Raw genomic sequence first — 20,736 nt, forward strand, 5'->3', positions numbered from 1 at the left:
GGGTCATCTATGAAAAAGTCCCCATCTCTACCTGGCCGGACAAAGACATGCATTTGTTCAAACGAATGGCAAGGCTGTCTCTTTCCACCTCTGGAATGCCCTAATTTAAGAGACTGGCTTACAACACGGGTCAACATGTAGGTTTAATGAGACCATATTTATTTTCTAAAATCACCTAGTTTCTGAGGCCTCTGCAAACAAAGAACCACAAAAATATTCAGGTGACAGGGGATTAGGAGGCAATAACATAGTTGGGCTACAAGGCAGGTGAGCAGAGTTGCTGGAGACCAGCAAGTGGGGATTCATGAGGGTCCACGTTCAGGTCACCAGCACCCTGAGTGTCTGGCAGATTCAGAGGAGTGAACACCGCAGGCATTGCCGGGCTTTCGTCTGGCAGGCAAGGCTGGACTAGGCTAGAGAGGAAGGTTGTGGTAGACCAGCGCTCCACCAGGGTGCAGTTCCCAATATGGGGCCACTACCCAAGAGCAGGTGCAGGGAGCGTGAGGCCGGAGCAGGCCTGGAGGTGGCCGTTTCAGACAGAAGCCCTGAGTGCCCACCGGGACAGCTTTGTGTCTTTGGGCTCACTGCCCCCTGCGTCATTTCCAGAGTGTGGCTCTGAGTCAGGCCTTTGGGACATTTATCAGGCTGTGATCAAAAGCACAGTCATTGCTAAAATACAGCGCCAAGGAAACCACACACAACATCCAGAGCTGGCCTTGTTGTGAAGGAAGGGCTTCCAGTCCAAAAGGCGTCTTCTCCACTTGCTCTCCGAGGCCTGTGATGCTTTAGCAATGCCAAATCACCGAGTTAGAGAAAAACAACAGAGCACAAGGCAGATCATGACACAGGAGTGACTCCCAGGCGAGTCCGTCCTCAGGTCATTTGCATTCCTTGGGAGCTGCCCCCTTTAGTGACTGCTCCTCAGGGCCCAAGCCAACCCTTACCTAGGATGTTAGGATTTAATAACCACTGGAGGGAAGGGCGGGGTCAGCTGGGGATGGAGGGAGAAGAGCCCAGATGGGGAAGACCGGGGAGGGAGGAGGGCTGAGAATTCCCGCAGCACAGTGGAACCGGCCTCCTTGTTCAGCTCTGCAGCTAGCTGGCTATATTGCTTTAAGCAAGTCACATGAAGCGACAGGGCCTCAATTTTGCACCCTGTAAAGGGAAGGATTGGGATTTGGTGACCGCCCCCCAAGACCTTTTCCAGCTCTCACTGGAACACGGGGACTCAGAGGTCCCCCAGGTCTTACACAATGGTCTGAGGGTTCCTTCTGGGCTTCATGCAGGGACAATGGAGGAGGGCCTGGTTTCTTCTGGGCACTGGCAAATTGCCCACTTCACTCAGTACAGTGAAGACACAGACTGAGAACCATGATTTACTTTAATTTTTATGATCAATTTGTCTAAAAAAAGTCAGGCATAGAGAGGACTGAGACACAATTATATAGCACATAACTCATCTTGTTTCTTTAATTTTTCCCATAAAATCTTTCAAATGTAGTGTTAGCTTAATATGCTTTTTGGCATTAACTTTTTTTAGTCTAACTACAATTTGCATTTACATTCTCAGGTTTTGACATCATCTGTCATTACTCCAGACTTTCATTGACATCATTTTGGCATCATAAATTGCCCTCGCAAATCACTCTAACCAGTGGTGAAACAACTTGAAGCAATTACAAAGGTAAGAGGATAAAAATGTAATAAAACCTAATTCATGTACCATACTTGTTCCGTGTCAGATTTCAGAGCAAAGGCACTTCATCTTCCAATCATTAAAGGTTCTCATCGTAACTCTTCCTCAAAGCACATGAAGTAATTATTTTGGTTTTGATTAAGAGAAGATATCTTTGACTTGATGAATATTTTTACATATGTTAAAATAGTAAATATATATATTCACATTGAGACATATGTCATTATAATTTTGAAAAACTAATATAATTTTGATTATACCAATAATATTAATCATTAAAATACACTCAGCACTTACTCATCCTAAATGTGTTACTTGTTTTACCCTAGTTCTCATGAACACCTGTTAGTAAGGTAGATAAGAATTATCCCCAACTTGCAGATGAAGAAGGACAAACAGAATTCACAGAGCTGGAGACCTCGCTCTGACTTCAGAGTAGAATATTACCTATTCTATGATTCTGTCTTTTAAGATGGAATCACATGTGTGACAAAAAAAAATGTACACAAGAAGCAAAAAGTAAGATATCAATTTTTTGAAACTGAAAATTAACAAGAACAATCTTTCTTTAAAATCTGGTCTTCTGTGTGTTGTGGTTTAGCTGTTTTCTGCATTGGGGCCATTACTGTTATATTACTTAACTGTATCCTGACCCATTCGATTTTATGAACAGCTTAACTGCAAAATGATGACCGAGGGGGAGACCTGTGGAAGTGTGGGAAGTATAAGACATCCACGATCACCTTCTTGAGGCAAAACTCAGCCACTGGGGGTCAAGCTTCACTGGCAGACAGCAAATAGCAATGCAACAGACGTTGCATTGCACGGGCGTCTGTCTGTTGGAGATGGGCAAGTGAGCGATAAAATGATAACAGTTCCCGATGTGAGAGGTATTCTGAGCGGTACCTCCTTTTAAAACCTTTCCCAAGCAAGGAAGGGTGCAGTCCAGGCTGTTATTCTCCACACATGTATTTTAAGCTGCCAGACAGCAACCAAGGTAATACATATTTTTTAGCATTAGCAAGTTCCAACCAGCCTTGAAAACCATAGGGTGGACAAGGCCAAAAAGCGGGTTGCAACTTGGACACCTTATTAGTACCTGAGAGGGAGGTCCTCTGGGGCTCATCGGAGGCCTTGTTGGGGGGCCCTGGCCCCAGGAAGACTCAGCCCCGACTCTCAGCCCCTCCAGGGGCCTTGGCTGCACACACAGAAGGAAAACAGCTTCCTGCTTGGGGCTGGAGAGACCCCTCTGAAAGAACCACTGGTGTCTGACATCACCAGGCTGTGGTACCACCGCCGCCGGCTCCCTGTGAACCCGCTCGCCGCCAGCGCGGTGCAGCCTGGAAGACGAACCTCTCCCTCTTCTGCTCCGCCGTCTGCACAGCCGCTGTGGACCCGAGGCCCTGCATTCCCCAGGCTCAGGCCCGCCAGGCAGCCCCCTGAGCTCATGGCTGGCAAAAGAACAAAGGCGTGGAAGAACAAAGGCACGGCGTGTTGAAGGCACAGTTTTAGAGGCTTTTTAAAGGCCTTTAATAAAGCCGAGCTGAAAAAGCTGACACGGTGAGAGAGGAAAGTGTGTGTGTTTCGGGAGGGATGAGGGCGAGGCTTAGTTTCCACATATCCCCAAGGGAAACCTGAGCCTCCCAATGGCTGATTGCAGACTTTACATGACATAGAATGGGGATTCATGTTTGGAAAATGACAACAAATTTATCCTTGAAACAAAACCCAGGGATTTTGCCTAAGAGGTAGAGAATAAAGGTTAATTACAAAGAGCTGTTTCTCCAGATGTGATATAATGCACGCACATATACACACGTACTCACACATACACACACACATTCTCCACTCCCCTGTTCCCCTAGACAATAATAAAATATTTTATACTTTGGCTTGGATTCTTCCCTGAATTTCTGAGTCAGCAATTATACCCAGGTCCAAGCCTCAATCTGGTTGCCAACTAAACGGGATTGGAATCTGGGGAGGCCATTCTGCCCTGATAGGGGAGCAGGAAGGGAGGGGGAATGTGCTGGACTTTGTGAGGTGGTCTTGTTCATATGGCACACATTGCACATTTATGGTCATTTTCATTTAAAAAAATAGCCTCAAGCTGTTCATTTGTTTTAAAAATCAAACCTTGGTCTCTCCTTGGTGAGGACGGATGCTGCCTCTGCATTTTTCAGCACGATTCACCACAATTCCCATCCCACCCCAGTGAAAACGAACGCCCCCACCCGCTGCTCAGCCACCTCTCCAGGTGTCCAGTTAAGTGGGCCACCAGCGCCCTGGTTCCCGGCTCTGTCACGACCCCCCTGCTGCATCTGTGGGCACCCTCTTCTCCCCTCCCCAGCAGACGGGTGTGGAGGGAGGAGCGGGATGTGCAGGTTCAGGGACCTGGGAATCAGAATTTCTAAATTTACAGGGCTTAGGGGGCAATATAGAAGCAATAGGGAGGAGATAAGGGCTTATCTTGAGACTACATTTATTTTAATTAGATTCTATGCTTCTTTGGAGTACTTGGTGGTAGTGAGAGAAGTCGCCCCTTTGCTACAATCCTGGTTCATGGCCAAATCTCTCTACGACAATGCTCTTATTGGTGTTTCCATTCCTTTCCTTAACACGAGGTCCAGAAAGAAGAGATAAAGACAATTGAGATGCCCTTGAACAGCCTGTGCACAGCTCAGTGACTCTGAGAACTGATTTGGGAGAGCTTGTATGTTCTACTCTAAGATGGTCCTAGCAAGGCGTGCTCTTTTTAACCACCCTCACCCCCAACCAAAATGAAATTCCAGTTCCTCCCTTAGGCAAATACTAGTAGGAGAGTTTTTGTAAATCACTCCTCAATTGCTGCACACATAGAGAAATGGCTGCTTCACCCAGGCATAAAACATTGGGGAAAGACCAACATACTCATCATAGGTTTGCTAGAGAGCTCGCTTCTGGGTTTTAAACACAATAGAGATGGCATTCGTAAAAGTCGTGTGTGAGAACGCACCCTGAGCACACACAGCTGCACACCATGGGGACTGACCACCTCCAGGGGGGCAGCGCTCTGGTCCTCTGTTGGCCGCTGACCTCCTTCTGCTAAGGAGCCCTGCTCTGGTTCTGTTAAAGGCAACGATGCCTGTGCGTCCAGAGGAAAAGCAACTGTGTGCACAGATGAAAATGCCAGGAGAGTGCTTTGAAAGAAAGGAAGGAGTCGCACTCCAACCATGAGAAGAGAGAATGGGTGTCAGCGGAAGAAACCCTGAGACCTCGGACCCTCCAAGAAATGGGCAGGAAAGGGCTGTGGGATACTTCATGGGGCCTGTCATGATGTCTTTTCCTGAATTATAGGATTCTCCTTGATTTATTATTTTTAATTGAAATTCTTATGAAGATAATTGTAGATTTACATGCAGTTGTAAGAAATAATTCAGGCTGGGTGCAGTGGCTCACGCCTGTAATCTCAGCACTTTGGGAGGCTGAGGCAGGAGCATCACTTAAGCCCAGGAGTTGCCCAGCCTGGGCAACACAATAAGACCCGTCTCTTACAAAAAAAATAAAAATAATTAGCCAAGTGCAGTGACTCCCAACTGTCGCCAGCTACTTGGGAGACTGAGGCAGGAGGATCCCTTGAGGCCAGGAGTTCAAGACCAGTGTGGACAACACAACAAGACCCTGTCTCTACAAAAAAACAAAACAAAAAAATAGCCAGGTATGATGGTGCCTGCCTGTGATCTCAGCTACTCAGGAGGCTGAGGCGGGAGGATCATTTGAGCCTAGGCGGTCAAGGCTGCAGTGAGCCATGATCATGCCACGTGACCACACTCCAGCCTGGGCAACAGGTGTTTCAAAAAAAAGAAAAGAAAAAAAGGAAAAAAAAGAGAAAGGAAGAGAAAAGAAAAGAAAGAAGGAAGGAAGGAAAGAAATAATTCAGAGAGATCTCTTTTACACCCTGTTTAGTTTCCCCCGATGGTTACATTTTACAAAAACTGTGGTATAATATCACAACCCAGATACTGACGTTGATACACTCTGCTGATCTTAAATTTCCCAAGTTTTACTTAAATTCCCCAAGTTTTACTTAAATTCATTTGTGTGTATATTTATTTCTACACAATCGTATCACCTGTGCAGGTTCATGTATCCACCACCACAAACAACCACATTCATCTCTTGCTTCCCCCATCCCTACGTCATTTCAAAATATTTTATAAATGGACTCATATGCTATATAACTTTTTGGGATTGGAGTTTTTTCCACTCAGCAAAATTCCCTGGAGATTCATTCAAGTTGTGTGTCAATAGTTTGTTCCTCTTTTTTTTTAATTTTAATTTTTGTGGGTACATAGTAGGTGTATATATTTATGGAGTTCATAAGATATTTTGATATAGGCAATGTGTAATAATCACATTGGGATAAATGGGGTATCGACCACTTCAAGCATTTATCATTTGTGTTACAAACAATACCATTATACTTTTATTTTTTTAATATACAATTAAATTATTATTGACTATCATCAGCTGTTGTGCTAGTGAATATTAGATCTTATTCATTATGTATGTTGTTGCAAATGACAGGATCTCATTCTATTTTACAGCTGAATAGTACTCCACTGTGTATATGTACCACATTTTCTTTATCCATTCATCAGTTGATAGACACTTAGATTGCTTCCAAATAATAGTTTATACCTCTTTATTGTTGAGTAGTGTTCCACAGTATGGATGGATCATAGTTTATTTACAGTCACCTAATGAAGGACATCTAGGCTGATTCCAGTTTTGGGCTATTACACTTAAACTTGCTATGAATGTTTGTGTGCAAGTTTCTGTGTGGATATAAGTTCTCATGCCTCTGGAATAAATGCCCAAGGTGCAGTTGCTGGTTTGGGTGGTAAATTGTATGTTTGGTTTAATAAGAAACTGCCAAACTGTATTTCAGAGTGGCTAGACCATTTTACCTTCCCATTGTGTGAGTGACCTAGCTTCTCTACATCCTTGCTGGCATTGGGTGCTGTCACTACTTTTTATTTTAGTCAATCTGGTAGGTGTGTAGTGACATCTCATTGTGGTTTTATGTTTTATTTATTTCTTTCTTTTTGAGACGGAGTTTCGCTCTTGTTGCCCAGGCTGGAGTGCAATGGCGTAATCTTGGCTCACTGCAACTTCTGCCTCCTGGGTTCAAGCGATTCTCCTGGCTCAGCCTCCAGAGTAGCTGGGATTACAGGCGCCCGCCACCATGCCAGGCTAATTTTTTATATTTTTAGTAGAGACAGGGTTTCACTATGTTGGTCAGGCTGGTCTTGAACTCCTGACCTCAGGTGATCCACCTGCCTCAGTCTCCCAAAGTGCTGGGATTACAGGTGTGAGCCACCACGCCCGGCCTCATTGTGGTTTTAATTTGTATTTCCACAGTGACTAATGGACTGAGTGTCCCTTCATGTGCTTATTTACAATTGCTTTATCGTATGTTTATGTCTTTTGCCCATTTTCTAATTGGATTGTTTGTTTCTTTTACTGTTGACTTTTGAGCCTTCTTTCTATATTCTAGATACTAGTCCTTGGTCAGTTATGTGGTTTGCAAATGTTTTCTTCCCATTTGTAGCTTGTCTTTCCCTCCTCTTCACATGGGCTTTCTAAGAGCAAAAGTTTTGATTTTGATGTGGTCCAACTTTACATTTTCTTTTTATGGATCATACTTCTGGTGTCTGGTCTGAGACCTTTTGTGTGCAAGTCCCAGTGATTTTGTCCAAGGTTTTTAAAGTTTAATATTATGTTTTAAATTTAAGTCTACGATCCATTTTGAGTTAATTTTCATATACATTATGAGTTAATTTTCATATACATTATGAAGATTAGATTGAAGTTCATTTTTTTTTTTTTGCCTGTGGGTTTCTAATTGTTCCAGCACCAGTTGTTGAAAAGCAGCCCCTTTCATGGAATTAATTTTGTACCTTTGTCAAAAATCAGTGGAACATATTTAAGTAGATTTTTTTTTTTTTGAGATGGAGTTTCACTTTTGTCACCCAGGCTGGAGTTCAATGGCACAATCTTGGCTTACTGCAACCTCCACCTCCTGGGTTCAAGCGATTCTCCTGTCGGCCTCCCGACATGCTAGAATGACAGGTGTGAGCCACCGCGCATAGCCGAGCGGATCTATTTCTGTATCCTCCACTCAGTTCCAGTGATCGGTGTGTCCATGCCGTCACCAGTACCACCCCATCCTGATTGCTGTGGCTATACAGTGAGCCTTAATATAAGGGAGAGTGTTCTCCTCCCATTTTATTCCTTTTCATCAAGTTTGTTTGAGCAATTTGCTTTTCCATATAACTTTTTAGAAGACGCTTGTCTATGTCTACAAGAAAATCTTGCTGAGATTTTAAAAAAAAACTCATTGAGAGATAATTCATATACCATACAATTCACCCGTTTAAAGAGTCCAAGTCAATGTTTTTTTTAAAGCATATCCACAGGGTTATGCAGCTGTGCAGAAAAGAGATAACACTGCAGGCCTGAGACTGCTCTCGTAGAAAGCTCTGCTGCCAAGTTTGGCCCTCGGCTAGGGTCTGGGAACTTGGCTCTTGGAGTGTTCCCAGTCAACCGTTAGCTGATAAGAGTGGCTCCCTGTGCCTAGACTGTACAAACAATATGGTTTATGCTGAACACCTGCTTTCCTTTTAGGAGTCTATAATGTTGGCATGTGCTAGACATAGGGTGCTTATGTGACCAGCTTTCAATAAAAACTTTAGGTGCCGAGTCGCTAACGGGCTTCCCTGGGAAGAAACCTCAAACACATGTTGCTGCATTTCATTGCTGGGGGAGGAGTGAACTTTGTATGATCCCTCATGGGGGAGGGGAGAGCACACAGGAAGCCTCACAAGGGTTCCACCAGACTCTGCCTCTTTTTCCATCATGATCCTGGGTATCTTTACTGTGTCACTGTCATAAATCTTAGCCATGCGTACAATTAAATGCTAAGTCCTGTGAGTCCTTCTACTGGATCTCTGCAAGTGGAGGTGGTCTTGGAGATCCCTAGCGCAGTGGTGAGATTTGCTAGAATAACCTGAATTCACTGAAGTACGGCTCCAGCGTTACTCGAGAAAAAGAAAGGGCAGTTTGATTGTTCAGTGTGCATACATTTAGGATGGTTATGTCTTCCTGGGGGATTGATCCTTTTATCCTTATATAAGGTCCTTGTTATGGTTTGAATATTTGTCCCCTCTGAAACCCATGTTGAAATTTTTTTTTTTTTTTTTTGAGACAGAGTCTTGCTCTGTCGCCCAGGCTGGAGTGCAGTGGCACGATCTTGGCTCACTGCAAGCTCTGCCTCCCAGGTTCATGCCATTCTCCTGCCTCAGCCTTCCGAGTAGCCGGGACTACAGGCGCCCGCCACCACGGCCGGCTAATTTTGTTTTTGTATTTTTAGTACAGACGGGGTTTCACCGTGTTAGCCAGGATGGTCTTGATCTTCTGACCTCATGATCCGCCTGCCTCGGCCTCCCAAAGTGCTGGGATTACAGGCGTGAGCCACTGCGCCCAGCCCTTGTGTTGAAATTTAATCCTCAATGTGGCAGTATTGAGAGGTGAGGCCTTTAAGAGGTAGGTGATTTGGTCTTGAGGGCCCTGCCCTTAAGAATTCATGGATTCATGGATTAATGGGTTATCATGGGAATGAGACTGGTGGCTTTGTAAAAGAGGAAGAGACCTGAGCCAGCACACTCAGCCCCCTTGCCATGTGATGTCTTGGGCCACCTCGGGACTCTGTAGAGGGTCCCTGTCAGCAAGAAGGCCCTCACTGGATGTGGCCCCTTGAACTTAGACTTCTCAGCCTTCATAACTGTAAGAAATAAATTCATTTTCCTCATAAATTACCTAGTTTCAGGTATCCTGTTATAAGCAACAGAAAATGGACTAAGTCAGTCCCTTTTTGTCCCTAGTAATTTTCTTTGCTCTGAAGTCTGCTTTATTAGATATGAACATAGCCACTCCTGCTATCTGTGGATTAATGTTTGCATGTTACATCTTTTCCATCCATTTACTTTCAACCTGCCTATGTCACTGAATTTGAAGTGAGTTTCTTGGCAAAAGTACATACTTGAGTCATTTTTTTCTTTTTAAATTCACTCTGCCAGTCTTGTCTTTTGGCTGATTATATAAGATAATTTACATTTAAGGGAATTCTTGGTATGTTAGCACTTAAGTCTGCCATTTTATTACTTGTTTTCTATTTGTTTCCTTTGGTTCTTCTTCTTCTATTTCTCTTTTCTTGCCTTTCTGAGGATTAAACAACGTTGAGGACTCTATCTTGATTTAATTGTAGTATTTTTGAGTACATCTCTTGGTATAGTTCTCATAGTGGTCACATGAGTATTACAATAGACACACGTGACTTACCACAGTCTGTTGGTGGTGATGTTTCACTACTTTGAGTGAGGTGTGGAAATCTTTTTTCCATTTAGGCCTCTTTACCTTCCCCACTTTTAAATATCATTGTCTCAAGTACCAGATGGAGGCCTGATTTTTGTTTCATCAAACATGATTCATAGAACTTGTGATGCAAAGGACAGTGTATTGTATGTATCCCATATTTCTGCTCTTCCCATTGTTTTTTCTCTTCTGATACTCCAACATTCCTTCTATTATCATTTCCTTTCTCTTTGAAAAACTTTCTTTAGCTGATCTCTAAGGGTGAGTCAGCTAGTGGCAAATTTTTTTGGTTTTTCTTTGCCTGGGAATATTTTTATTTCCCTTTCATTCCTGAAAATAAATTTGCTGGATGTAGAAATTGTGGTTGACAGTTCTTATCTCAGCCCTTGAAACCTTTTGTGCCACTTCCTTCTGGCTTTCTTGGTGGTTTCAATGATAAATGTGTTGCCATTCAAATCACTGTTATAGGTAATGTGTTATTTTTCTGCCTGCTTCCAGGGTTTTATTTTTCCTTTGTTTTTTGTTTTCAAAAGCTTAATTTTCAGAGCCTTTGTGGTGTTGTTTCAGCCTGCTTGGTTTTTCTGGTGCCTCTGGGCCTCCCACTGGTTCCTGCTGGTGCTACCTGAGGAGGGAGAAGGGTTTCCCCAGGCTAGACCTTGGGACTTCTCTCCATGAGGGAGGTGCTCCTCCTACTGATGCTCCTGGCGGCCTCTGGGGAGCGGAAGAGTGTCAGTCAGGCTGCAGAACAAAGAGGCTTCCTGGACCAAGAGGCTTGTTGAAGCTGGGTCTCTCTAGGCAGATCGGCTCACACCCTCAGTATCTCTTGGTAGAAAAGGGGTGTCTCAGACCCAGGAAGGAAGGAGAGTATTTTCTCTATTAACCACCCCCAAAATTATTTTGCCTGATATTATTAGAGCAACTCAAGGAAGGAAGAATGAATCTACCTGGGTTGCCTTCTTTTCCTACGTCAGGCTTGGGAAACATTGAGTCTGGGTTTCAGGGTGCAGGGCGGGGGATGCAAGATGCTCTGCTGCGGTGCTGATTGTACAGTCCTGGGTCCCAAACCAGCTCACTCTCTTATCACCACCTTTCGGAGTTTTCCTTTGGTTGCCTCTTGCATTATTTCCAGGGTTTACAGTTGTGCTTAGTGTGGAGGGGCATGGAGAAATAGGTTCATCTTGTCCCAACCAGAAGTCTCCACCATCGTATTTTGACTGATCATATTTTGAAGTATTAGGCACAATCATATAATCAGGCATTCCACTCACTAGTAATATTGGTTCCTAATGTATATATGGTTTGTTTTCAAAAAGTATCTGTGGTAGCTTGTATTACAAATCATGTACAGGGAACAAGGTGGTGTAGATTCACCTTCCTTTCCTGCCTCTAATACAACTACATATTTGGAAATTATTCTACAGACAAGGATAGAAGAGCTCTGAAAGCGGGAAAGAAGAAGGTAGACTGGGTAGAGACGACAGGAGTAGAGAAATGACAATGTGGTGGGTTCCCTGGGTTTTCTTTTTGTCTTCCACACACCCCTGGACTGAGCACTGGAGAAATGTGCAACACAGTCTGTTACGTCAATAGGTGTAGGCATAAAATCCAAAGAAAAGCCTGCACTCTGGCCAAAGGACTAGGAAAGGGAAGGGAAGTCCAGTGGAGACCTAGTAGGGGGCTGCAACCCTCTTTCCACAACCAGGGCATGCACTGGTGACCCATCTGCCCACAGTAGCAGCTTCAGAGTTCTGGTAGACTGACCTCCACGCTCCATACACCCACACCCAGAGCACTGGCAGTCCGGATCAGGATCAGCCTGCCTGCCAGTGCTCTGGGTATGTGTATGTAGCGTCACTACTCTCCACCTGCATGCACAGTAGTGAAGCCGTGGGTCAATTCAATGCCCATTCCATGTGTGGAGCACTGAAATGGCAGGTCATGCTCCCCACATGACAACATTGGCAGAGCCTGATGCCTCCCTCCTTACACCAAGGGGCATAAGGAGACCCAGGCCCAGACACTCTGGCTCTCCCCACTCTCCACAGAAAGTGGTCCATGGAAGTGGGTTGAGCCCCTGCAGGTGGCACCACTAGGGATTAATCAGAAATCTCAGCAGTGCCAGAAGAATGAAGCAGACAAGAATAGCATGCAAAGGCTCAGGAAACTGAGCTGGCATTGGACCCACAGCCCATAAAAGTAGGCCAGAACCTACACACTAAACCTAAACAGGGCAACTGCCTTCTGTCTAAAACAGAAGATTTAAATAGGATCAAGAGTCTCCTAACATAACCAAAATTCCCAGGATACAATGGAAACTCACCCATAATCCCAAAGACCAGGTAAGTCACCATTTGAATGAGAAAAGACAATCAACTGATGCCAAGACTGAGGCGAATCAGATGTTGAATTATCTGACAAGGATTTTCAAGCAGTCATTATAAAAATGCTCCAACAAATAATTGTGAATTCTCTTGAAACAAATGAAAAAATTGAAAACCTCAGCAAAGTCATATAAGTCATACAAAAGAATCAAGTGGAAATTATGCAACTGAAAAATACAATAACTAGAGTAAAAATAATATATGAATACCATGAAAAAATCATGCAGACTTGATAAAATAAATACATCAAAGTACAGATCAATATGCTTAGAAGCCCTACTGAATGTTTACTGTGTGCCAGATGCTGCACTAAGCATTTTCCCTGTATTAATTAATGTAATCTCACAACAGTCCCATGAAGTAGATACTGTTATCCTTAATTAATGGATGAGGAAACTGAGACACAGAGAGATTGAGTGACCTGCCTAAGATCACACAGCTTACTAGTGGTAGAGCCAGGCAGTCTGTTCCAGTATCTGCTCTTATCCACATGTAGTATTGCATAGTGTGCTGCTGCTTCTTGGGAGAATTAAAGTTATTTAAGTCATTCATCTCAATGGGCTGTTTCTTCCAGGGCTGCCACAAAAGCCTCTCCCTAGTCTCTCTAACCTCTACCTCACCTCTGTGTTCAGGTTCCTCTCCTCCCACCCTCCTGCTCACCCACTGAAGTCCACCCTCAGACTTTCTTGCTCCTTGAACTAATCTCTGCCTCAGGCCTTTTGCACAGCCCTTTCCTCTGCCTGGAATGCTTGTTCCAGATCTTCACTTGGCTCCTTGACTGGCACTCTGTTCAAATGGTGTTGTCTCAGGGAGGCCTCTCCATGACTCCATTGTATTGTCTTCAGGCCACATCTCGCGATTGTTCCTTTTTTTTTGAGACAGGGTCTTGCTCTGTAGCCCAGGCTGGAGTGCAGTGGCGTGATCATAGCTCACTGCAGCCTTGACCTCCCGGGCTCAGGTTACTCTCCCACCTCAGCTTCCTGAATAGCTGGGACCGCAAGTGCACCACCATGCCCAGCTAATAGTTATATATAAATATATATTAAATATAAAATTTTTAATTTTATATTTTTTGAAGAGATGAGGGTCTTGCTTTATTGCCCAGGCTGGTCTCGAACTCCTGAACTCAAACAATCTGCCCATGTTGGCCTCCCAAAGTGCTGGGATTACAGGCAGGAGCCACTATGCCTGGTCTATTGTCCTTTTTTATTCTTTTTTCCTAACTAAGCTAATAAAAGGAGAGACCTTGTTTATCTTATTCACTGCTATATCACCAGTAGCTAGAACAGGCCTGACTTATTGTAGGAACTCAAATGAATGAACAAATAAGTAAATGGCAGATGAGTTATAGAGTTTTCATTACCTGAAAACCAGAGAGATAAACTTATTTATTTTGAGACCTAATTTTTAAGAGGAATTTGTCACACAGGTCCTTATATAATAAAATAGACACTTTTCATCAGTACAGCTCATTAACAACAGTGTACCATTTCTTACACTTGTGCTTTCTAAAATACACTTTTGTATGTTCTGAACGTGGCATTGGCAGTGAAGTTATCCTTAAATCTTAATGCTTTAAAAAAAAAATTTCTTAGTTGGCCAAGACTTTAAAGTTGATCTATTACTTTTGTTTGTTTTTGTTTTTTGTTATTCTTTTTGAGATGGTGTCTCACTCTGTCACCCAGGCTGGAGTGCAGTGGCGTGATCTCAGCTCATTGCAGCCTCCACCTCCCAGGTTCAAGCGATTCTGCTGCCTCAGCCTCCCAAGTAGCTGGGACTACAGGCACGTGCCACCACACCTGGCTAATTTTTGTATTTGTGGTAGAGATGGGGCTTCAGTATGTTGGCCAGGCTGGTCTCGATCTCCTGACCTCGTGATCCACTCGCCTTGGTCTCCCAAAGTGCTGGGATTACAGGCCTGAGCCACCGCTCCCAGCCAAGTTGATCAATTATTAAGTATATGCTGAGCATAGAGTACATGAAAAGCACCTGTTGCTGGCCTTATCTCATGACCAGCCGATGTCACTCTTGCCTTTATCTTTGTCCTCTAGCAGTCCTCCTCTTCCTCACCGATGATAAAGCCTATCTTCCTTCCCCCACAAAGGACACTCCTAGCCCCTCTCTCTGTGACATCGGAAACAAACAGAGTCCCCGGGACGCTAATGGTCTCTCCCCTCTGAGTGCCGAGTGCCTGCCTAGTTACTTGTTTTCCTGGAGCATGCAGGGCTCTCCAAATTGTCTGTTAGTTAACTGACTGCTAGGTGCCAGGGGGTGGGGGTGGGGGGGCACACAATGGAATGCAGGATCTACACCCAGCCTTTCAGGAGCCTACAGATCAGCAAGTGAGAGAACAAATTCGCACCAGGGACATTCTAACAGTCACTAAAATAAATCTCTCATTATAGCTATTCCTTTTCCTAGCTTCTCTATTTTTGCCAATGTAACTTTTCCATCCCCGTGACTAAGAGATGAATAAGAGATGTAAGAGGAAGAGCTGGTTTGGCGCAGAGCACAGTGACTTTATTTGAGGTTGAGTTTGAGGTTTAGGTGGGACAGGCTTGACTGAATCATCTCTGCTCCCTTCTACTACACTGACTCAACCAACTGCCAGATCCTGAAGACCCTGCCTCTAAGAGGTCTCTCAGACCTGCCTCCTGTCTGATTCCAGTGCAAATCTGAACAACGGCAGCAGCCCTGGGGCCATCTCCAGGCTCATCACCCTCTCCTTTCCCAACTATTCTTAAACCGCAAGGCTGAATTTTCAGTTCTCCAATAGCTATTTCAGTGCCCACTCTGGGAATATGTCCTTGTTCCTGCAGCTGTAACAAAATACCTTAGACTGGGTACTTTATAAACAAAAGAAGTTTATTTCTCACAGTTCTGGAGAATGAGAAGTCCAAGATCATGGTGCGGGCAGATTTGGTGTCTGGTAAAAGTTTGCTCTTTGCTGCTTCTTCTTCTTTTTTAACATACTAATTGTATACATTTATGGGGTACATGTGATATTGTGATACATGCATCAGGGTGTTTAGCATATCCGTTACCTTAAACACTTATTATTTCTTTGTGTTGGGAACATTTCAAATCTTCTAGATATTTTGAAATACATAATATATCACATAATATATCATTAACTATAGTCACCCTACTGGGCTATCAAATACTAGAACTTATTCTTTCTGTCTAACCATATGTTGATATCCATTAATCATTAACCCATCTTTCATTCCTCCCTATTCTCTCCAGCCTCTGGTAACCACTATTCTACTCTTGCCTCCACAAGATAAACTTATTTTAGCTCTCTCCTATGAGTGAGAACACGCAATATTTGTCTTTCGTGTCTGGCTTATTTAACTTAACATAACAACCTCCAGTTCTTGCTCTTGGCTTCTAAGATGGTACCTTGTTGCTACATCCTCACATGGCAGAAGGCAGAAGGATGACAGAGATGAACACTGTGCCCTCACATGGCAGAAGAGACGAAAGGGCCAGCTAGCTCTCTGAAGCCTCTTTTATAAGGTTATTAATCCCATTCATGAGGGTGGAGGCTTCATGGCCTAATCATCTTGGAAAGGCCCCACCTCTTAAGATTGTTGCATTGGGGATCAGGTTCAGTGTGAATTTTGGAAGGACACAAACATTCAAACCACAGCAGGACAGAAACAAACAAAGCTCCATGGTTTCTGCCCTTGTGGATATTCCACCCTATTTCTCAAAGGAAGCCTCCAAAGGACTTGTGGACACCCTCCACTGCCCAGCCTGGTAATCTAGGCCCCCTGAACTTTCCCTCCAGATTCATATTCTTCTACTAGAGCTCCATGCATGCCTGTACAGGACGAAGCCCATGCCTTCATGTACTTTTATCTTTGCTCCCCTAAGCCTGGATGTCCTCTGCACTCCTGCCTCCTTCTCCGACACCACCTGTCAAAATTCTAATCTGTTCTTCATTGCTTCACTCAAAGCCCAACGCCCTTGTAGGCCCTTCATGATCCCCTACCCAAAATGTGTGCTGCACATCTTTGAGTTCTTATGGTACCTTTTGTACATTTCTGACACTCGTCATATTATATTTGAGGATCAAAGTAAATGGACATCTTAGCCTCCCTCTTCAGCTATCAGAGAAAAGGGTCCCTGTCTTACCCATACTGGAGGCTCCTCATCTCTCTACCACAGCAGCTGCCTCATACATAGGATGCTTTATACCAAAGGTGACCATATAATTCATTTTAATTTATTGTTCAAACTAGAACACCTTTGAGAGTGAAAGAAGCACAATTAATAATTATGCAGGGCTCCAAGTGAAATTGATATTGTCCTTGGCTATTTGGACATATGGTCATCTTTTTATGCCAAAGAAGGCTCAAAGAGCAGGAATGCTGGTTGTATGGATGGACAGTGGTCAGCATGAAGAAGTGGAAGAAAGAACTTTCCTGTAGCTGGCATTGTTGGGGATGGTCCCATGGGGCAGGTGGTCTCTGAGGTATGTCCAGAAGGTATGGATGGTATTCAGGAAGGTCCCATTAGACAGAGACAAGAAGAAATGGCACTATGGAAGGTTGGATGGTGGGAGCAAAGGTGGACTGCATTTGATATGTTCAGGGAAAAGTGAGTGTGGCTTAAATTATGGTTGATATTGGGGAGAAATAGGCAACACACGGTTGGAAAGTGGAGTCAGAAGAAACTTGGCTAACACCAGCCTAGGGTTGGCCTTTATCCAGGAGGTAAGAACAAGCACTCACGTGTTTCTGAGCAGGAAAGAGACAAAGCAAATGTAGAATTTTAGGAGGATTCATCTGGTAGCTGTGTTTAGAGCAGGGAGAGGCTGAGGAGGGGAAGGCCATATGGGATCACTGGAAATAATTTCAGTGTAAGATGACAAAGGATTAAAGGAGATATGGGTTACCAAAAAGAGTGAGTTCAGGAGAACTTAAAGAGAAAAGTTAACAAGGCTTTGTGACCCACGGGGGTCAGGGGTGGCTTTGGGGTGACACTTTGTATAGGTTCTATCTGTTGGTATCAAGATTGAACTAAGAAAATCAAGGGGCAGAGACAATCTGGAGGAAGAGGCTAAATTTAGATTTCCATATGTTGAGTGTGAGGTACCAGTGGGTCATCGAAGTGGAAATGTCCAGTAGAGAGCCAGGGAGGAATGCCTAGGAGGTGGGCAAGGTCAGGACCAGTGAGAAGGATTCAGGAGTCATCCACCTGCAGGAGGCCATAGGTGAAAGACAAAAAAGGATGAGATGTCTGGGGCCAAACAGTAGGAAGAGTAATGGCGATTATCAAGATGAGATCTCGGGGAGAGCCTAAGCTTAATGGAGAAGGGAAAGAGCAGGAGACCAAGGATTCAGGGCTGGTGGGGGTTGGATGACACAGTCCTGAGGGCTAAAGGAAGCTTTGAGAGAGGTGCCCAATTGTGTCAAATTTTGCAGAAAGGTTGAGAAGGATAGACTCAGCGAAAAATGGCTTTGGCAACTGGATGACACTCAAAATGAGAAATGTCTAAGGAAATGAACCAGAAATGGATTTCTCTGGCCAATGACATTGCCAGAGGCTGACAAAGGGACATTGGTTAAATGTTGATGTGATATGTGTGTTTCCTTAAGGAGGACTTAAAGACAGAACAACCAAAAAGTCAGTTAGATACAACTAAAATATGAATGGTTCTTTTATTTATTAATTTATTATTATTATTACTATTTTGAGACAGGGTCTCACTCTGTCACCCAGGCTGGAATGCAGTGACGCAATCACGGCTCACTGCAGCCTGGACCTTGTCAGGCTCAGGTGATCCTCCCACCTCAGCCTCTCGAGTAGCTGACACTACCGGTGCACAACACCATGCCTGGCTAACTTTTGTATTTTTTAGTAGAGATGGAGATTTGCCATGTTGCCCAGGCTGGTCTTGAACTACTGAACTCAACTCAAGCGGTTCTTGTGCCCCAGCCTCCCAAAGTGTTGGGATTACAGGCGTGAGCCACCACACTTGGCCTGAATGGTTCTAACATTCACCAGGCTTGTGACCCAAGACCAAAGTGCCAAAATGATAGCTACTAACCTGTGATACCTTTTTTCACCTATCAGGTAGCAATACTGGGCATAGAAGAAAGAGCTTTTCTTGATACAGATTCCATCATAATGATACCTGGAAAAATAAAGGTTGTCTTTAAATTTATGTCTAACTACTGACATGCTTTATGGAAGGCAGAGAATAGGCGAACTAATGAAGACTTGGAGTTCTTCTCCAGGTTTTAGCATTGGCTGCATTTCTCTGGAAAAGCTAATCCTTCAGTCTGACCAAGCTCTGTTATGTAGACAGGCAACTTCATACACTTTCACACATATCAGCCTTGAAATAGGCTTGTGGAGGCTCTCCTCTGCTTGCCTGATGCAGCACACACTAATCTTAGAGAGATGTGATAGGGAAAGCCTCCTGTTCCCTGCCCTGTGCCCTCAACCACTGCCCCCCGACCCCCCAGCACCCATTAACCTTTTTCAGGTGAAGGGAAAATGATACCAAGGCTCCCTCCACTGAAGTTGTCAGAAACCCAGGAGGGAAGCCAAGAGCCTTCTCTGCAGCCCACACCTTCCTCCGCTAAGCCCAGGGGACTATAGCAGCTTGTCCCGGCTTCAGACAAAATTTTTTCTAGTTAATTATTGCCCAATATTAGGTTTGGCAAACACTTCCACTGTCTTCAATTCCTTGGTGAGTGGCAGCCCCCTTTCCTAATTTGGCTTCAATGTCTTCTCGCTGATTTCCCCTCGCAATTTAAAACAAGCAACAAATAGCAATAATAATTGAGTGACAATTATGACACAAGGCACTCGATAATACTGGAATTTCTTTTCACGTTAGAAATACAACCTTGGGGCTGGGCGCGGTGGCTCACGCCTGTAATCTCAGCACTTTGGGAGGCTGAGACGGGTGGATCATCTGAGGTCAGGAGTTTGAGACCAGCCTGGCCAACATGATAAAATCCTGTATCTACTAAAAATACAAAAAATAAGCCGGGCGTGGTGGCAGGCGCCTGTAATCCCAGCTACTCGGGAGGCTGAGGCAGGAGAATCGCTTGAATCTGGGAGGCGGAGGTTGCAGTGAGCCATGATCACGCCATTGCACTCCAGCCTGGGCGACAAGGGTGAAACTCCGTCTCAAAAAAAAAAAAAAAAAGAAAAGTAATATAGCCTCGGGACCGCACCTCCGGAATATAATTCAAATATGCTAATTTTGTGAACACAGAAACTTTAGTTCAAAGGGTAATTAAAACAGCTCCAAGGCCGGACGTGGTGGCTCACGCCCGTAATCCCAGTGCTTTGGGAGGCCAAAGTGGGAGGATCATTTGAGCCCAGGAGTTTGAGACCCACCTGGGCAATTTAGGAAAACCTCGTCTCTAAAAAACATGAAAAACTAGCCAGGCCTGGTGGGACACACCTGCAGTCCTAGCTACTCAGGAGGCTGAAGTGGAAGGACTGCTTGAGCCCAGGGGCTTCAGGCTGCAGTGAGCAACGATTGCAGCATTGCACTCCAGCCTGGGCAACAGTTGCATTATTTGATGTGTGTTAATTATTTAAATATTTCAAGAATGAGACATTTACCTAACTGTAGAACAATAAAAATATATTGTAACCTTCATATTTTAACAAAATTCCGAAGAAAATAGAGGCCAGTGTTTGGTTCTAGCACCAACTCAATGATTTCAGGCACTGGGAATTAATGCGAATTGTGGACACTCTTTGGTAAGAGTTGTTATTTATAGTTTGTTTTGTTTTGCATTTTTTATCATTCATTTTGTGATTTTCCAAATCCTTGTTTTTAACATTTGAAATAAAACAAAAATTCTAAACCTACCTGGCACTTCCTCTAGTGCCCAGCCTCCGGGTGCCAAGGTCCGGAAAAACCAATCTCACAAGCTAAAAGAATAAGCCAGATTTAAAGTTGCAACTTGAAAACTTAGAAACAAACTTCCAATTTTTTATCTTACAATATTTAAATGATATTCCTTTTCCTCTTTTCTAATAAGCAAACAATAAAGAAAATAAATATAATAATAAAGTAATAAGGTAACAATAAAGAAAATAAATGTAAATGAAATTTTGGGGGAAAAAAATTAGACAGGTGTCAAAAAGAAAACATACCACTTGGAGGCCAGGCACGGTGGCTCCTGCCTGTAATGCCAACACTTTGGGAGGCTGAGGCAGGCCAATCACTTGAGGTCAGGAGTTCAAAACCAGCCTGGCCAACAT

At 44.0% G+C, this 20,736-nt stretch overlaps 1 protein-coding gene across 13 annotated transcripts in view; it reads right to left on the reverse strand.

Moving 5' to 3' along the window:
- Positions 1-20,736, reverse strand: part of RFX8 (regulatory factor X8) — a 77,754-nt gene that overhangs the window by 34,685 nt on the left and 22,333 nt on the right. For 8 of the 13 annotated variants that reach the window (NM_001367508.1, NM_001367509.1, XM_047445739.1 and 5 more), the window contains 2 exons: positions 20,342-20,403; positions 18,551-18,637 (listed from right to left, as the gene is read on the reverse strand). The exons of 4 other annotated variants lie outside the window; for them this stretch is intronic. Coding sequence is in view for 6 of the 9 variants with exons in the window: in XM_047445739.1 (XP_047301695.1) it covers positions 18,551-18,637; positions 20,342-20,403 (149 nt within the window). In the remaining 3 variants the exon portion in view is untranslated. Of the gene's footprint in view, positions 1-18,550; positions 18,638-20,341; positions 20,404-20,736 lie in introns of those variants that run through there. One more of the 13 variants, XM_011511773.2, reaches the window with a different exon arrangement.

Source organism: Homo sapiens, chromosome 2, assembly GCF_000001405.40.
Source record: "Homo sapiens chromosome 2, GRCh38.p14 Primary Assembly".
Classification (NCBI taxonomy): Eukaryota; Metazoa; Chordata; class Mammalia; order Primates; family Hominidae; genus Homo; species Homo sapiens.